The sequence below is a fragment of the Homo sapiens genome, chromosome 11, assembly GCF_000001405.40.
Source record: "Homo sapiens chromosome 11, GRCh38.p14 Primary Assembly".
In the NCBI taxonomy this organism is placed as follows: Eukaryota; Metazoa; Chordata; class Mammalia; order Primates; family Hominidae; genus Homo; species Homo sapiens.
In genome coordinates this window covers 31757010-31776125 of record NC_000011.10, presented here as the reverse complement: position 1 = coordinate 31776125, position 19116 = coordinate 31757010, and the positions used below count along the sequence as shown (strand labels likewise).

Sequence of the window (19116 nt, the reverse complement as noted above, 5' to 3'; positions counted from 1 at the left end):
AGGCTGATGTACACTGGCGCAATCACAGCTCACTGCAGCCTTCCCCTCTCAGGCTGAAGCCACCCTCCCATCTTCTCCTCCCAAACAACTGGGACCGCAGATGCATGCCACCAAGTCCAACTGATTTTTTTTAATTTTTAATTTTTATTTATTTATTTTTTGAGACGAAGTCTCACTCTGTCATCCAGGCTTGAGTGCAATGGTGTGGTCTCAGCTCACTGCAACCTCCACCTCCTGGGTTCAAGCAATTCTCCTGCCTCAGTCTCCCAAGTAGCTGGGACTACAGGCATGTGCTACCACGCCCAGCTAATTTTTGCATTTTTAGTAGAGACGGGATTTTGCCATGTTGGTCAGGCTGGTCTTGAACTTCTGACCTCATGATCCGCCCATCTCAGCCTCCCAAAGTGCTGGGATTACAGGTGTGAACCATCGCACCTGGCCTTTAAGCTTTTTTGTAGAGATAGGGTCACACTATGTTGTCCAGGCTGGTCTCGAACTCCTGGGCTCAAGCAATCTGCCTGCCTTGGCCTCCGAAAGTGCTGAGATTACAGGCGTCAGTTACCACGTCCATCCTGCCCTTCTTTATAAAACATGCTCTGGGTACTCATAACCTCAGAATTCCCTGTCCAAATGACTACAAAGCCTGCACAGTTCTCTCCCCCAGGTTCATTCCCCAAGGGTCGACTGTGTTGTCTGTGTGTATAACATGGGGCCCAGAAGTAGCCAAGAGATGGCCATTTGTGGGGGATACAGTTTTGATGTGCAAGGTGGGCATCCACAAACATGTGTGAATGTGCCCTTGTGTGTGGTAAGGGGGCAGTGGTGGGAAGAGAAAGGAGGCATGCTGTAGGCCAATTCTCCGTGTGTTTCATGTTCTGGAGTGGAGCCCTGATCCTAAGTTTAAACTTGGCTTTTCAGGGAGGTATATGTGTGAAGGAAGATAGAACATATTTAATAGTTTGTTGGCTTAATAACTTAAAGTATTTAGGCATATAATAATTATGTGGTCCTTTATTTGCATTCTTGCTCTAGGCTCTTTGAATGTTAGGGATGAATCTAACTTCCCTCTTCCCACTTGCTGAAATGTGGACTTCAGGGTAGGTGCTAACACAGTCATCCTGGACCAGAAAATGGAAGCTATTTGCTGAGGAGGGCATAGCAAAAAGACAGAATGGGTACAGGCTCTCTCGACACCATCTGGCCACCAGAAGAGTACTAGGTCATCTAACTGGGCTTTATGTGAGAGATACATGAACTTCTACATTACTTAAGCCACCGTGTTTTTGGATCTCTGCAATAACAGCCTAATCTATATTCTGTTTATATAGTTTGGTACCTGACAAGTGAGGCACTGAAGTTCTACCACCTACCTAAAGGTATGTTGGCTTAGTGGCTTGAAGATAGGCAGTGAGGTCAAGTATTGCAAAGTAGAAAGCTGGTGAGCCTTGTTATGCTTGTGATAGCTTGGAGGGCAAATTTCCTCCCTCCTAATCAGAGGCTCTATGTGGAACATTAGAGAAATTCAGAATACTAGTGTGTTGGTAGCTTCTTGCCACTTTAAGCAAATTCATTTATAAAAGACAGATGAACTCATGCTAGAGTTATAGAATCTGCAAGAAGAGATGGAAGGGACTACCTGCAGCCCACAAGCTAAACTGACTAACAATTTGGCAATTGGGGCCCCATGGGGTTGAAAATACCCAACTGTTTCTACACCTGCACTCCAAGACAGACAACCTTTGCAGATGTCTGTGCCCCTAAGCCTTCGTTAAATACCTTCGTTAAGTGGCTGGTCAGAAAATGGGAGCCACCTCAGAGAAAAAAGATTAAGGGTATTGCCTTCCCACTCAAGTCTATTATTTTAGATGGCTTCAAGGCAGCTACTGATAAGACGAAAGAGTGAGATAAGGGTAGAGAGGCCAGAATGTTAAGTCTTTTTAAAAAATTTATTTTGAGACAGTCTCGCTTTGTTGCCCATGCTGGAGTGCAGTGGCACAATCATGGCTCACTGCAGCCTCAACTTCCTCGGCTCAAGCAATCCTCCCAAAGCCTCCGAGTAGCTGGGACTACAGGCACAAGCTACCATGTCTGGCTCATTTTTGTATTTTTTGTAAAGATAGGGTTTCGCCATGTTGCCCAGGCTGGCCTTGAATTCCTGGGCTCAGCAATCCTCTGGCCTCAGCCTCCTGAGCAGCTGGGATTACAGGTATGAGCCACCATGCCCCACCTAAGACTGAAGTCTTACAATGTAACAGTCATGATGAACAAGGGGAATGGGTGCTCAGCATCCATCAGGAAGTATCTTGTCTTCTGGTGTGTCTTCTTACACATCAGGGGCTATGAAGGTGTGCATTAGCTTTATCCAATTAGATGCATTTGTACTAGATTAAAAAAATGGAACAGAAACAAGAGCTATCTCACTGCTGCTTTAACTACCACAACTGGCAAGCACAGTTGTGGAGACCATTTATTTTTGTGTGTTGAGATTCCACTGACTAGTCAACAGCTTCATGGGAGTTGAGAGACAGTTGTGGAAGTTGAGGCCAAACCTCTGCTTCTGTGTCCAGTTGCTTGCTTCATGGGGGTCAAGAAGAAGTTGCAGTGGTGGCAGTGGGATTTACTAACCCCAAGAGTGCAGCCCCATACATGTGTTCAATTAATACCTCCAGTGGTGGTCTCCCAATTCTTTACCTTGGTACCTGTGCCTGACTATGGTACAGGTAGTTGCTTCCCTGCTGGCCAGTTTGATGGCAATCTCCTTCAGCCCTTCCAATTATTTCACTAATTCCCCATTTTCTTCTATAAACTTTCCCTCTGCATAAAATAACTAGGTGGTATCTGTTTCTTGCAACGGAATCCTAGAACTATGTAAGACAAGCTCTTTGGCTGTGATTACTTGCATGTGGAACCAAAGGGAAGCAAATAGACTGCAAATCTAAGTCCTGAGGAAACTGTATTGGCAAAGAAACCCCAAGCCTGGTCAAATGCCTATAATTATTCAGCCTCTACAGTAATCCTAGGCCCCCAAAACTGATCTATCAATAATTGAGTTGTGAAAACTGTGGAGCCCCCAAAGGGCATACTCTCCAGTGGTGACCTTCTGTAGCCAGGGCTGATAACAGACAAGGAAAAACTTCCTAGAGGGATATGCAGGATGATGGACAAAGGAGTTTCTTCCAGAGAGAAGTGGGTGCTACAAACTGGGCTAAAGTCTTTGATTGCCAAGGCAGATAATTTTTGCAGTTTCTAGCCAGTAGGATTCCTCACTCATGCCTGGAGAGGGAGTAAGTGAATTATGGCAGAGATTGATAATTTTTTTTTTCCAGTATCTACTCTCCCATTTTACTTTAGCAGCAGAACCCTTGAATATAAAACAATTCTGAATAAAAACTTCATTTTCAAACTTCCCTTGCTGTTAGTTGTGGACCATGTGTTCATGTCTGAAACAATGGGAAAAGAGCAGAAGTGAGGTTGCAACTTCAGTGTATTCCAATGGAATTTGAACTTGGGCAGTCTGGCTTCAGTTTACACTCTGTGTGCCAGAACTTTTCTAAGCACTAGAGACAAAACAGTGTGAACAAGACAGGCAAGACACCTGCTTTCAGAGAACTCCAAAGATTAGGAGGGACAATGCACAGATACTTAGATGACTCGAGGAGAGACTGACAACACATAGGAGGGCAAACAAAAAAAAGAAGATAATTTAGGCCGGGTGCGTTGGCTCACGCCTGTAATTCCAGCACTTGGGAGGTCGACGCAGGCCTAAGGCCAGCAGTTTGAGACCAGACTGGCCAACATGGTGAAACACAGTCTCTACCAAAAATGCAAAAACTAGCCGGGCATCATGGTGCATGCCTGGAATCCCCGCTACTCAGGAGACTGAGGCATGAGAATTGGAGAACCGCTTGAACCCGGGATGTGGAGGTTGCAGTGAGCTGAGATTCCGCCACTGTACACCAGCCTGGGTGACAGAGCAAGACTTATTCTAAAAAAAAAAAAAAAAAAGAAGAAAATAATTCAGGTGGTGAGAGGTGCTTTTAAGGAAACAAAACATGGTGATATGATGCTGGCTGGGAGTATGACTTCAGTAGGCGAAGGCCTTTCTGGAGAGTATATTTGAGCTAAGACCTAATTTTTTTTTTTAGAGACGGAGTCTCGCTCTGTCGCCCAGGCTGGAGTGCAGTGGCACAATCTTGGCTCACTGCAACCTCCGCCTCCTGGGTTCACGCCATTCTCCCGCCTCAGCCTCCTGAGAAGCTGGGACTACAGGTGCCTGCCGCCACCACGCCCGGCTAAATTTTTGTATCTTTAGTAGATACAGGGTTTCACTGTGTTAGCCAGGATGGTCTTGATCTCCTGACCTTGTGATCTGCCCGCCTTGGCCTCCCAAAGTGCTGGGATTACAGGCGTGAGCCACTGAGCCCGGCCACTAAGACCTAAATTTTGAGAAGGGATTCATAAGACCCAGAGAAAGAAGTCCCAGGCAAAGGGAATAAAATGGAAAAACCGTGAGGTGGGAATAAGTTTGGCATGCTTGAAAGGCAGAGAAAAAGTCAGCTTTTCTGGAGCAGTCAATGAGCAGGGGAGTGGCTATGAGAAGTTTGGCGTGGTACGCAGTGGTCAGATCTTGTAGAGTTTCTAAAGTGTAGTAAGTGACTTGGATTTAATTCTTAAGGGCAAGGGGTAGCAAGGAAGTGATGTGAGCTTATTTCTATGAATACCAGGGCCATCTTACCCACATCCTTACAAAGTCATGCATGGAGATTTGCAATAATAGAAAAAAAAATTGTTGCAAACATGCATATTCTACAAGAGACAGAATTTCCCCAAAGGTGGTATATACTGGCTATTAGATCCTGCTTTCTTCTGATTCTGAAGAAACATTCTAGCTACTAAGTGACTCCCATCTCACCCTCACCCTCCTTCTGTGGGGAGTGGTGGTTCTTAATCTCGTGCCTGCCCAATAGAAGATTCCAGGTAGAGGAGTTGAGACTTGTGTGAAATGTCCATGAAGGAGAAACTCTAGCAGTTTCTACTGTTGTGGGGATGGTTTGCTGAGTTTAATTCTTTTAAAATGTGACTTGGAATCTTTTGGCTACACAGCAATAAATATACCACCATCTTTCAATCCCAATGTTCCTTTGTTTGAGACATTTAAGAATTCTCCTCCCTTATTTTATGCATTGACAAAGAACAAACTAGATTATTCCTGGAAAGCTTAAAATGGTCCTTCCTTCATACCTTCAATCCTTCCCTCCCCCCTCCCTCCTTTCTTGTTTTTTTTTTTTTCTTTTTTGACAGGGTCTCACTCTGTCCTGCCTCAGCCTCCCGAGTACTGAGACTACAGGCATGTGCTAACACATCTATTTTTTGTAGAGATGGGCGTCTTACTATGTTGCCCAGGCTGGTCTCAAACTCCTGGGCTCAAGTAATCCTCTTGCCTTGGCCTCCCAAAGTGTTGAGATTACAGATGTGAGCCACTATTCTTGGCCTGGTTTTACTTTCTATGCAAACTGAAAGCAGTATCTTTTACTTTTAGTTTCTATTTTTTTTTTTTTTTTGGAAATTTTATTCCCATTAATGCTCCAACATGAGTAGAACTGAAAAAAAAATCATTTAGGTAACAGTTGAAATAACACAGCTGGATTTGTTAAACTGTACTTGGATAGTAAAAACACTGTGAAAGATGCCTTCTCCCTGACCAGCCCCCTCTCTCCAGCAGCATCATGTCTGGGATAAAGGAATGGGATGGATAAGTCACACATGGTCACTATTCCTGTGATCCTCTGATTGTGCCACATTGTCTAAATCGGTTACTTGATATCTCCCCAACTGACTCCCTTCTACTCATCTTTCCTTAATTGTGTAGCTGGGTTTCTCACTGGCAACCTTTTTGCTGGTCTCCAACTGCTGCTTAACCCATGGCTTGTGTGGCTCTGGAACACACAATACAGGCCGGAGCATATAAGCTCCAGAGTGTGTAGAATTTGAATGAAGCTTTAGCAAGGCCAAGCTGAGAGATGCTTCAGATCTAGTGCCTGCTGCTGCTATTGCCGTAACTAGAAGAGAACTGGGGTCTTTCTTTAGATAGACTACTATTTTAACAGGTTCTTCAAGCCTGCCTTGCCTAGGAAGTACCTTTCCTACCCAAGATAAGTGAGGAGACATTTAAGGAGCAATATTTTGGGTACTACCCCTCAGGTGGCTTAAGAATACTAATATATTTTAGGAACACACAATGTTTTTAGATCTGAATGTTAAGTTTGAAAAAGTCTTTCAGAAATATATTCAAACTACTAATTAAATGAGAATTCCTTTTTATCCTCGTTTTTTTTTAAAAGTATATTATATGGAAACTACTCTAGAAGTGGTAAAAGGTAACAATATCTTTCTGTTTGTTTACTAGAATTCAAACTAATGTTTGCTTCTTACTATAATCTGAAAGCTCCTACTTGGTAACTGTTAGCAGATAAATGTGTGTGCACATTTGAGGTTGATCCAGAGATTTTAAGAACTGCAGCAGATCCACTATCCAATTTAAGGATTGGCAGAGGTCTGACTGATACACAGCTTACGGAATAGAGAAATTCTAAGATGTGAAAAGTCAGGAATCAGAGAATTTTGAAATCAGACAATTCACCAGATTGCTAAGTTACCAGGTTAATGTCAGTCCCCTAAATATTAATAACTTTCAAATTTGGCAGCTTTCGATGAACACTCCTCTTGGAAATGTGGCAATCATATATATTTGTGTCTAACACATACATGAACGTGTTGATTTCCTTTTGGCTGTACACAAATGAGTCCTCAGAGCATAATAGCCAATGTCTTTGCTTGCATAATGCCCCACAGTGTATGCAGAACATTACTCTACAAAGCCCTGAGATGGGGTATGAAGTGCTCGGTGGAAATGGCAATGTAAAACATCCTGGCAGCATTAAATCTCCCAACTACTCTCTAGTTACTTTGAGACCCCCACATTTAAGGGTCTGCTAGTTCCTCGGTATGAAGAAAGAATTTTTAATGGGGCCAAATGTAGGTGTTTACAAGGGGGAATTGTTGTTTTTTATTAGGAGCTGCCTTATGTTCAATAGTTGTATTTACTTTGTCAAGCTAGCCAGAATTAGAAAATCCCCATTGCTAGGCAGCCTAGAGTGTCTGCGAAGTATTTCTGGGCATTCAGAACCGAAGCATGTGCTGCCCAAAGGCAGGTTTCATTACAGTGTGTTATTTAGTCCTCTTTCGTCCCTCCCTACCCCCACACCCCCAGATAGGGCTGCTTCTATAACAGGAAATCTTGGTTACTTTATGCTGAAACATATTTACATGACTGAAACACGACAATTAACACATTTGTAAAGCTTGAGGGATAGGCACACTTTAATGGTTTTTTGAAGCAGGCTGATTTCCTGGAGCTTTTAATCTTATTTTATTTTGTTCTGCATGCATGAACAAGTTCTTATTTACTATAGGTATTTGACAAAGTCTACCTGGTATGAATGTGAATACAAAGAAAATAACATGAAAATTAATTTTATGTTTTATCTTTGTCAAATTGTTCCTAACTTCTTTCACCAGTTCAATGTATATTGAGGACTATAATATTATTTTTGTCATATTGTATTAGCTTTTATACAAAGACATTTAGGTAGTATCTTTTTGGTTTGAGAAAATGAAATGAGGCTTTCTCTCTACTGAGTTTATAAAAGCTTTTCATAATGAATGAAAAGTATCAATTACAGCAGTGATTTTTCTCACTCTTCATGGACAGATAGAGGTGCACTCTCCTAGGCAGTGTGTATTTCACTTGCTTCAAATTTAAATTAACACCTAGGTGATATTAATTAGTATTATTTGATAAATGCTGTTGTGTGTGTTTTGCCTATTTATATATTTAAGTGTAAGTATATAGCATAACAATATTGTCATGAATACTTTAATATCTTTTAATTATGTTGACTAATTGCTAATTAATAGCTTTGGTAAAATTTAGAAAAAAAAATCTTAAGTATCAGAGCCCTCTGAAATGAAAACTCCCATTTTCCTTTTGATTTCTGAAAACATGCTAACCCTCAAAACCCCCACTCCAACTCTCACTTAAAAGTTTATGGCAAATTTACAAATTACACTGGCTTCACAGAGTTGCTTGATACATCTAGTTCCCCCTTCCACAAACCTCCCTCCTCACCAATTTGAAAAGGATCTTGGTGAACAGACTGGGCAAAGCGAGAGCCCTCTTTCTACGTGCCTTAGGGTGGTGATAGGGCAGCCAAAGACCAAGTGCTTCAGCTGAGGGATACAGATTAGAGATGAGGACCTAACTCCAAAGAGTAACTCTTTGCTGAAGTGACTTCACAGAGGGAAGTAAGCAGTAATTCAACTCAGCCTTAGATAGAAAGCTTTTCTATGAATAATGGGAAATAAAGTTAAAGGAAATGATGCAAATAAAGCAAGAAAAAAATACTGATGATCAGAAAAAAGAAAAGTATTTGTGAGTATATAGATAAATGACTACGCTGCTCTTAGGGTCTTTTTTTTTGGTTGTTTGTTTGGCTTAATCAAAATGCATGTTTCTAAAGAAATGTTAACAGGAGCTAAGTTTAATTTCCACTTGGATAATTCAGAAGTAATTTCTCATACCGATTATTTTCTATTCTTTAAAAAGTAATTTGCTTTTATATGTGGGGGATTTCCCCCCACCACCTAACTACCCTTGAGCTAATTTTTTTTTTTTTTTTACAAGGAGGTCTGAAAGATCCTCAAAATAGAGAAGAGCCAATGACTTCATACACCGAATCGGCTAAATCCTGTCTCACATTTTCACTGTAGCCAGAAGAGCCACTCTGGTCAAGTAGAAACCCTGAAGTTTGCCGTCATTTCATCCAGGGTCTGCAGGTATGCAATGGGAATGTTCCTTTTGGCATTTGCAAAATTAGTGCTCCAAAATGAAATAGTGGAGGGAATTGATTTTGTAATTGTTATGCAGGGTTATTTTCTAAGCTTTTTAGATCTAAGTTAAATGAAACATACATATTTTTGAATTTCCTTTAGAGGCCTTTAGTATTAAAACCACATATAAGAATTTCTTGAGATACTCAGAGCAAAAGAAAGCATGATTTTTTTCATCAAATGATTTCTAAAGTACAATACTGACAAGTTTTGCTATTTAATAAATGATGAAAAAATGAGTTTTTCCTTTAGAAATATATCAAGTAGTGGCATTTTTTCTTCTGTTTTTCATTAAGATAGCTTATGTGCTAAAGGGATATTAGTTGCTCTAAAATCAGTTTAAGCAAATACATCAAACATTTACCCAATCAAATATTTGTAAATTACAGAGTATATTACAAACACTTAGTAGTTCTGTTTCTAAATGAAAAATTATAACAGGCATCTTCAATTATATATTTATTTTCATTATATATTTATTTTCAGGTAACACTAGTATCTATAGGTGTTTGCATCCTAAATCTATTACCTGTCTTGTATATTTCAACAGTCTATCTTAAATATCTTACAATTTATTTCTCTGTAACTAAATATTAATATTTCACACAAAATGATCATTGATCATGTTGTAAAATCATGAGTCAAAACATCATCTGAAAAGTTCTGAAAAAAATAAAAATGGGAACATGTTTCTTGCTTCTAAACTAGCCAAAACCATTTCCAAACTTATGTCAATTCAAGGGACTCAGTAATACTTACACTATATTCCAACACCCTGAAACCATATGTATTTATCTTACACTAATAAAGGTACTACATGGCAAACATGTTAACAGGTAGATATACAACTAGAACTGCAATAAGGACCGGTTTTAGTTACTATTACTTTATCAGAAAAATATACTTATTGCCGTTATATTTCCGTGGTTATTGTTTTCTTTTTTATTCAGATATAAAATATCTCTTTAGGTTGGTTTATTATATAAAATACAATGCAAAGCAAACTGTTCACATGCATAAGAACTGGGTTTAATCTGTATTTAAAATATTAATGTACACATTTTTGATTCCCTAACAATTTTTTTCTAAATTAAAGACTTTAAAAAATAGATGAAGCACCACACAGAAGATGAACAGTCACAGTTTATAAACTACTCTGTATGTGCTTTTCATATTTATTCCCAATGTATTAATGGGAAAAAAGAATATTAACTTTTTGTAAAAAGAGAAATAAGTCTTTTATTAGGAGTTAATTCTCTTGGAAATGAGTAATAAATTATTTCAGATATTAATGATGGTAGCCAAAAACAAACAAAAAGCCCACTACATGTTATTTCTTAATAAATGTTTTTAAATAAATCAGGCTAAGAACAGTTTTTAAGTAACACTAATTTATGAGGTATCACTAATGCTCTAAAATATTATGCAGATTAATATTTAGTTAAAATATATACTACTTAAATAGTATTTCCAGAAAATGAGCAATGGATCTTAATTGTCCAGGGGATCTATTGTTGCACTCTATTTATTTATATGATAGGAAGTCTTAAATTCTTTCGTTGTAATTTTACAAATTTTTACAAATACAACTCATCTCTTTGATAAAGATGCTACTTATAATAAAAGTAAAGTCAATGATTACTCATATTATATCCAGCTTAAGATTTTGGTAGTTGCCCTGTTAATCTGATAGAAAATATTGATTAGAATGTATCCAAATATTAAAAAGAGTCTGTTTAACTTATAAAAAATGTCTACTTGGTTAGGTTGCATTAGGGCATTTTAAGGCAGAGCAAATATGAACTGATATCATCTATCAGTGTTTGTAAATATCACTAACATTCACGATGATATTGCAGAGGCATCATAAGGAGCAATGCAGCACCAAAGTGTATGCTTTTGGTTGTACTGTATACAATTTTTTTTTGTTAAAAAACTTTTAACAGTTAAATTTTAGAATAAGGTCACTTCTTCTAACAGCTTCATACCCATTACCATAACAGAGTATTTCCAAAACCATAAACAGTTTTTCATGGTGATGAATAAAAAACAGATTTTGCTGGGAAACTGTTCCTGAATCTAATAATTATCCTCTTCATCCTCTTAATTCAGTCTTAGTGTTTTGCTGAGGAGTGGGATGGGTGCCAGTAGCAGTCGTCAGGGGGATTACGGTTATATGAGTCTCCCATCAGGAGGCCAAGCAGCCTGCAATTACTAAAGAGCGGTCCTTTTGATTTAAAGGAAAAGTTTCAGAAATGGACTAAAACGTTGAATAATACACATGATTAGTAATTTGTAGCTGTGGATCAGGGGTTCCCCTCTACCAGAAGTGTTTGTTGAAAAAATAATAAAACCGACACCTGTGGGGAGTTTTAGTATTTCATTTTTCTCTTGATTCAATGGAAGTTCTACAAAACTATTACAGCTCTGGGAGGACCCAACCAGGCTCTGTAATCACCTTCAGAAAATTTATCTGTATATTCCATTGTGGTAAAGCACTGAATAAAATCTTTTCAAGCAGCATCTTTTATATGATGCCCTGGATTTTTAAATGAAAATGGGGGTCAAATTCTCTCATTTTCCTTACAAAAGAGTGAAAAGAACAACTGTGCGGCCTTGATGGCCGCACCAGAAGGTGATTTGATAAAAGGCGGACTCTGGGTGAATGCTGGACTCACATCAATGCCTTATTGTGAGTGCTCCCTGAGACAAATGAGCACTGGCTACGATTTAAGCTGTGTAATTAAATTTCACACAATATGAAGCAGCAAATGACATGTAAATTATGAATGGCCTATTCCTTACTTTCCATGACAGTGTTAAATAAGGGAGGTGTAAGTGAAATCATTAGATTATACTGGTCGGCAGAGACTTTCAAAGGTTGTCTTCAAGCACACACAGCTAGTTTGGCACAAACGATGTACTCTGAGACTATTTCAAACGGTGTCAGGACAATAAGTAACCAGCCTTTAATTGTGTTTGTCCACCTAGGTATAAAATAGACATTATCGCAATATTGTATCGCACACCAAGATGCTCGGGTTTTACCTAAAGTATGACATGACTGGACACCCACTGCAGCTTCCTTGTTTTAGCTGCAGTGAACATAAATATAAACTGGGATTCCTTGAAAGAGATATAAGAAAATACTTACAACTTTAAAAAAATTAGAAACTTCATTTCTGACAATAAAGCTTATTATCAATAACTATAGATTTTCGGTTTAAAGAATAGCCATGACTTATGAAAATAATAATGCAATCTTCCAATTTAAAAAAAAAATAAATGAAGCCCCATGGGCTACCTGTGCACACCTACACAAAAGACTTGGAAAATGACATTGAAAACTCATTTCTTTAGATGTCATATAACATTAAAATAAGTCAGACAGAGAACAAGTTAGAGAAAGGCTTAAAAAAAAAAGGTACCATTCTGAACACCAAATTCTACTTAGTAAAGTACTCATGTTGGTTGCAGTTTTAGCTGTAAAGTTTAATCTTTGGTAAAAAGGTGATTAAATAGCAGTATGTGAACACCTTAAACTATCATCCCTTAACATTCCCTTCTTAATGAGAACAAATCCCTCTTTCAGTAGAAGCTTTAGCTGAAAAAAGGGAAAGCCCATACCCTTTGCAAGGAAGCTCATTAAAAATGTGGAATGCTGTAAAGAACCTTCTCCCCATGCAGAGTCTTTCTGCTTGAGTAAGTATGAGAAGCCTGGAGGATAAATGTTCCTCTCTTGTCTCAAGTAGTTGTCTTGCACCCACTGCCTCAGAGAAAAGAGACACAACTTGTTAGTCAACAGTAATTTTGAAGGGATGGAGAAGGATTAGAGGGGGAAAAAGCTAACATCTCATTTTCTTTCTCAATTGTGTATCTTTTTAAAAGCACAGTGAACTCATCTATCCTAAATATTTGCAACAAATCAAGCGACAGGAAAGGGCTTATATTTGGATATTTTTAAGAATGCATATTTTCAATGGCTATCCTTAAAGGATATTTGTTTTTCATCACAGATATTTTAACAGTGACATGTTAATTTTAAAATGGTCATCTAATTTAAATGATATGCTTTTTTTTTTTGCTCATTATACAGAATTGCATTTAAAGAAGCCAAATCTTGAGTAGAAAAGTTTACATCTGAGCTTACTTATCTTTTGTTATTATTTAAAGTACTTTTGTTTTTATTCAATAATAGCCCATAAATAGCTATAGGGAAAACTGCTCATTTCTATATTTAATACTTTCCTATATATAATATTCAAGGTATAAAATCTGTATCAGGTTGATCATTATTTATATTATATTGCACACTGAAAAAAATTATTTTTCTATAAAAAATTCCAATAAGCACACTTATCTGAAGTACTTTTAGAGCTAAATAGCTGTTTAAAAAATATATCTTAAGACATAAGAAATTAGAGCTGAATAAACTATATGGCAAATTAATATATAAAAAAATCTATATTTTAGCTAAGAATGCCTTCTAGTTAATTATTTAAAATTAATCATACATATGATACATGAGCTGTAAATAATCATAGCTAAATATACTTAAAAATGACTGTAATCTACAGGAAGAACATACATTTGTCTATCAAAATGCAAAATATAAAACCAAAATTACTTCTGACTTAAAAAGAGAAAGTGAAAAGATTCTTATTGTAGAAAGTCTTTATTTTAATAAGTATTTTTGAAGTCTAAAGGTTATTTTTTAAAAATTTAAAAATTTACATTTTTTAAACTCTATCATTTAATTTCAAGTTCTTTCGAATAAAATGTAGATTTCTGTAAGGTAATAAAAAGTTCACTGGTCCTGCTTTTGAAGGCTGTTAAGGAAAAAATCATTTAAATAAACTTTGTTGTGAAGACAAGAAGGTAGGCAAAAGTTATCTTTTTACTACTTTGCCTCAATCTCAGTGATATTTACATTATTTTCATATAATCTAATTTGTGCATAGGTCAAGTTTTTTTCTGTTTTGTAGTGTTATATTGTCTTTGTGTCTGGTTTAGATGTTAAAGGTTGTGCTAAATATCTCGTGAGCTGTAATAGTTTCAGTCTGCTTACCATGGTCACTGTAGATCATTTCTGCCTAGCTTTTCAAGTATCCTCCATTAACTGTCAGGATGGTCCATTTCACAATCAAGCCAACTTATATCTGTCTGGATTACACTCTAAGGTTTCTGACCCTTTCTGAGTCGCCACTTATTACTTAAATCTTAAACTTCATTTCTGTGCTTGACAGCAATGCCATTGTTTTGCTTATTTTCTGATTGGGAGGCTGGCAGTCTCTTCTGAGACTGATGCCAACTGAGCTCTGTGTATCAGCCAGTAGGAGTCACTTGGAGCAGATGGTCATCATCCTTCCCCACAGCCCAAATCCCTGGTCTGGGTGGCAAAGTCCCAAGACCACACCTACATACATGCCAACTGTCCTTATTTACTAAGATACTCCTTCTTATTTGTTTAGCTTAATAAATCATTTGCCCTAATATCTTTCTAATGAACTTATGTTCTCATTTCAATTTTCTTTAATATATCTTCCTATTAGCATATCTCCCCACTGTCCCTATCCTTTATTGCCCATGCTATTAGAAGGTACATTTTTAAATTCAAATCTTTTTTTGGTTTCATAAATGTCCATCTTTACAGAGATTTTATATACTTACTGGTATATATGTAACAGGTTGAAATTCTATTCTGGTGAAAAAGTATATTGACTCCTTCCATTTCCATTCCTCCAACTTAAAATATTAAAGTTCAATCTTGGGTATAGTTAAAAAATGAGTAATTGTTTTATCACTCTAAACAGCATCTGAATGGCTTTTTTTTTTTTTTGAGACAGGGCCTTGCTCTGTTGCTCAGGCTGGAGTGTAGTCGTGCAATCATGGCTCACTGCAGCCTCCACCTCCTGGGTTCAAGTGATCCTCCCACCTCAGCCTCCTGAGTAGCTGGGACCACAAGTGTGTGCCACCATGCCCAGCTAATTTTTGAAATTTTTTGTAGAGACAGGGTCTTGCCATGTTGCCGAAGCGATCCCCCTGCCTTGGCCTCCAAAGTGGTGGGATTACAGGCGTGAGCCACCGCGAACAGCCTTGCCATTGAGTTGATAAAATTTCTGAAAAAGCCGATACCTAACTTAACTATAGAACACAGCATATAGTTTAATTCCTAAGAGAGCTAAAGATTCATAAAATACTCAAAATAAATTTAAGCCCCATAGTTCCTTACTCTTGGGGATGTATAGTTATTGGGAACATCCTAAGCCTAACTTTTTGAAATAGCAGTGAATTATTAGTACATGTTATTTTTGGATTGAGAAAGCAATGCATCTGATCACTCAGAAACATACAACATTCTGGTAAAAAGATGACTGGTCTCTGCTATTATAATCATAACGTAATAGGGTTAAATAATATGTCATAATAATTTGCATTTAATTTTCCCTTAGAATCATCTGGAATATCTAAGGAAGTCATCTAAGTACAGTTACAGGAAGTATTATTTCTAAAAAGTTATATCTAAATTAAATTGACATGAAGTGAAATATGCTATTTAACTTATACTTAAGTGGGACCTATTAGGAATCTTGTGTAAAGTTAAAAGATCTTTTGAAATACAAATATCGTCTTCTAATGTTTTTATAATACATTTAAAAAAATCTAGCATACTTAAACTGATGCATATTTCTACTTAAGGAAAAGAACTTGCCAAAGCAAGAAAGATAAAATCAGGATGGCAAGATATATTTCAACCTGTTAAGCTGGGGTTTAGAGTAATTTCTTTCAAGGACTAGAGGCATTCTGGAAATATTATGAAATCCACAGGAAAGAAGAAATAGGAGTTTTTGAGCCTAGATTAGATTTAACGTGGTGACATGTTTCAAAGTTGTGCCATTAGGAAACAGCAGGCCAAATAAATGAGATACTGCTTAGTCAAAACTTCAGTTTTTCTAGTGTCCATGTAGCTAAGGTAAGCTTCTCTTTCCCTAGCACTGGAGGAGAAGTTGGTATGTAATTTGTTGGGAGTTTATGTGATATAGAGTCCATCCCAAAGGTGGACATAAAAGTATATATCTTTATGGTAGTCAGGCTCATCAATATCTCAGATCACTTAATAAAGCACTGAAGCTGATGAATACAAACTATTCAAGCTGGTAATCAGAAAACACTGACCGACCATAGTGGCTCATAGCCTGTAATCCCAGCACTTTGGGAAGGCGAGGCAGGTGGATTACTTGAGGTCAGGAGTTCAAGACTACCCTGGCCAAGTGAAACCCTGTCTCTGCTAAAAATACAAAAATTAGCTGTGTGTCGTGGCATATACCTGTAATCCCAGCTACTCGGGAGGCTGAGGCACAAGAATCCCTTGAACCCAAGAGGCGGAGGTTGCAGTGAGCCAAGCCCGTGCCACTGCACTCCAGCCTGGGTGACAGAGCGAGACTCCGTCTCAAAAAAAAAAAAAGAAAAAAGAAAAAAGAAAAAGAAAAGAAAACACTTAAACGAGGTAGGGCATATTACATGAAAAACAATGCTATTAGTGTGTGAAAATAAGCCTTAATAAAAAGTAAGCAACAGGCTGTTTTGTACTTTGTGGAGGTTTATGAGAAGATGCATATTACACAGTTAGTGAAATTATGTTTTTGGGAGCTTGGGAAAAGGAAAGTGAATTCTTACTTCAGACACCTTTTAGGACAAATCTCCCTTTAAAAAGAAAGGATAGTTTGCATATCCATGAATGATATATTTTCCTTACCCTAATAAGGTATGGCTAATGTTAGCATAGGTGCTCCAGTCATTCAGGATAAAATCAATTATTTTTAAGCAGTGGATTCTTGTAGAATTATACATAGGCATTTAAGGCACCTAAGGACAAAGGAAAAAACTCAAAACTTAATATATTCTCTAATTTTGCTTTTCTACTAGAAGGAAATATGTGTGGGAAAGAACTTCTTGATTTGTAAATTAATTACTTTGGAGGATGATTAACGCATTATGTGGGTACACCAAGCAAAACTTCTTTTTGCTATTTGTTGTATAGGTAACAGAATATAAGATTAATTCTCAGCATGTGTAGTCATTTAAATAAAAACATATTAAGCAATTTTGTTAATTTTCACAGAACAGAATGATGGAAGAAAGTAAGTCACAAACGTATATCTACCAATAAGAAAACAACTAGATATATTACATAATATGACATGAGCTTGTTAAGATCATTAAACGTTTTAAAAATTTTCTATTAAAAACTTCTGGCTGGGTGTGGTGGCTCACTTAGGTTAGGATTTCGAGACCAGCTTGGGCAACATGGTGAGACCTTGTCTCTACAAAAAATACAAAAATTAGCTGAGTGTGGTGGTGTGCACTTGTAGTCTCAGCTTATTTGGGAGGCTGAGGTGGGAGAACTGCTTGAACCTGGAAGGTGGAGTTTGCTGTGAGCTGTGACTGCACCACTGTACTCAAGCCTGGGCAACAGAGTGAGACCATCTCAAAAAAAAAAAAAAAAGTTCCACCCTCTTTGTCAACATATCATTAACAACAGAATTTATTTCATATAAAATGTTTTAGTGTGAGGTGAGGTCTTGTACAATATATTGTGACATATACTATCTGACAAAACTTGGGTTGGGCAAAAAATGCAAAAGCAGAGAATTTTCTAGGTTGACAACGTCCATGGTCATAATAGTCTAGTCCAGTTGAAACACAGGGCAATTATCATCTATAAAACCTTGGGCTTAACAATCAAGTTCCTATAAGTCTATCTATTTGATTTCAACAACCATTAATTTCTAATTTCTTCACTATATTGCTATACAACTCAAACAGATTCCATTTCTGGAATGATAAAGAACGAACATGAGTGTGACCCACAAATTAAAGGCTGAGATAATATAAAAAATCCTCGAGGAATTTACCTAGTGGTAGGAAATTCAACCATGGGATGGTTGTTAATACGCTCTGAAATTAGAAGTTGAAAACTGAATTCAGTAACTTTAAGCTGTGTTGAAAGATCTGTAGAACCACATTGTAAAATAACATTATTAATCATTGTTTGACTTGAAAATAAACATAAAATTCACCAATGACATTAAGTATAAAATTGTTTAATATAGTCCTGAATTGTTTTAGAAAATTATAATGATCAGGGAGGAAAAATAGATAACTCTAGACCAGAAACTCATGGCAGTAAGTCAAACAGACTTTGATTTCTTTGTCTAATGCCAAAGAAATGACAGACACTATTCCAATGTTAAGTATATTTTGTAAGAAGAAAGTCTGTTACATTTCTTTTAAAATGATGTATTGAGCACACATTTATATAGAAATACAATAAACTATTACCTCCACTTCTATGAGCCATTTTTTACCAAGATGTTTCCTTTTCTTAGAACCAAAATTTGAGCAAACTGTTACATCTGGCGTGTTGTGTAATGAGTCCTATCAGGCCCAGGGTTCTCTTAATCACATTCAAGTACCATTTGGAAGTACTTCATCTCTGACAAAGTTTAGTGTGCATGTGAGCACATGCATAAGTGTTTTCAACTTCAGAAAATGAGCATTGAAGAGGGATATTGAATAACCCCAAGAGCTTATTAACCAGTGCTCCTTGTCATTTCCTTAAAGAAACACGGCAAGCTGAAGAGCTTCTGTAAGGATGAGTGGAGATAAAGATGTGGAGCATATTGTGTTTAAGAGGAACAGTGTGCTTATTTGTCAGCTCCCAAACGACAGGCTGCTTGCTTTGTACTACTGTTGCTAAAAATATCATGCTTGGCATGGTAGATGCAAAAAAAAAAAATCTGTAGTCTGATTTGGAAAGAATTCAATGAGGTAAAAATGTAACTGGGATCTTTCCCCTTCCACTAACTTTATACTTCCCCTGCTTTCCCTTAGAAATTTGTTTTTCCTTAGGTAGACTCAAAACCCAGGGGCTAATTTATTTAACCCCTTCCATGGTTTTCCATAGTCTGGGTATAGCAAATAAATACCAAGTAAACTCATCAGTAATTACAAATACAGAGGAAACAAATGAAGTAAGTAGAAGGCATATTTTGATTTTCTTGCATTCCTTAAGATGGCACATGTTGTTTTAAAACACAGTTTTTGGTGATAGTTCTATATTTCAGTATGATTTTTTCAAAAAACTGGCATTGTCAAGTTTAAAGA

At 37.2% G+C, this 19116-nt stretch overlaps 1 protein-coding gene and 1 long non-coding RNA gene across 4 annotated transcripts in view, besides 5 other annotated features; one reads left to right on the top strand and one right to left on the bottom strand.

Annotated features, from left to right (window-relative positions):
• Nucleotides 1-19116, bottom strand: part of ELP4 (elongator acetyltransferase complex subunit 4) — a 280558-nt gene that overhangs the window by 14199 nt on the left and 247243 nt on the right. For 2 of the 3 annotated variants that reach the window (NM_001288725.2, NM_001288726.2), the window contains one exon: nucleotides 12577-12715. The exons of the other annotated variant lie outside the window; for it this stretch is intronic. In NM_001288725.2, the coding sequence (NP_001275654.1) occupies nucleotides 12577-12715 (139 nt within the window). The remainder of the gene's footprint in view (nucleotides 1-12576; nucleotides 12716-19116) is intronic. 3 annotated transcript variants of the gene reach the window in all.
• Nucleotides 8235-19116, top strand: part of ELP4-AS1 (ELP4 antisense RNA 1) — a 78869-nt gene continuing 67987 nt past the window's right edge. Inside the window, exons 1-2 of the long non-coding RNA NR_199065.1 lie at nucleotides 8235-8491; nucleotides 8744-8895. This is a non-coding gene — a long non-coding RNA (ELP4 antisense RNA 1). The remainder of the gene's footprint in view (nucleotides 8492-8743; nucleotides 8896-19116) is intronic.
• Nucleotides 10817-12378: an enhancer, noted in NCBI's record as "E60UCS/E60B element". NCBI's record gives its function as "enhancer in the telencephalon" and the evidence as "EXISTENCE:transgenic organism evidence [ECO:0001131][PMID:22220192]".
• Nucleotides 10817-13115: an enhancer, noted in NCBI's record as "E60Z fragment containing E60A and E60UCS/E60B elements". NCBI's record gives its function as "enhancer in the eye, telencephalon, and diencephalon" and the evidence as "EXISTENCE:transgenic organism evidence [ECO:0001131][PMID:22220192]".
• Nucleotides 11123-11390: a conserved region, noted in NCBI's record as "conserved region; ultraconserved element uc.327". NCBI's record gives the evidence for it as "COORDINATES:sequence similarity evidence [ECO:0000044][PMID:15131266]".
• Nucleotides 11680-11994: a conserved region, noted in NCBI's record as "conserved region; ultraconserved element uc.326". NCBI's record gives the evidence for it as "COORDINATES:sequence similarity evidence [ECO:0000044][PMID:15131266]".
• Nucleotides 12391-13097: an enhancer, noted in NCBI's record as "E60A element". NCBI's record gives its function as "enhancer in the early telencephalon, optic cup, and ventral thalamus" and the evidence as "EXISTENCE:transgenic organism evidence [ECO:0001131][PMID:18282108]".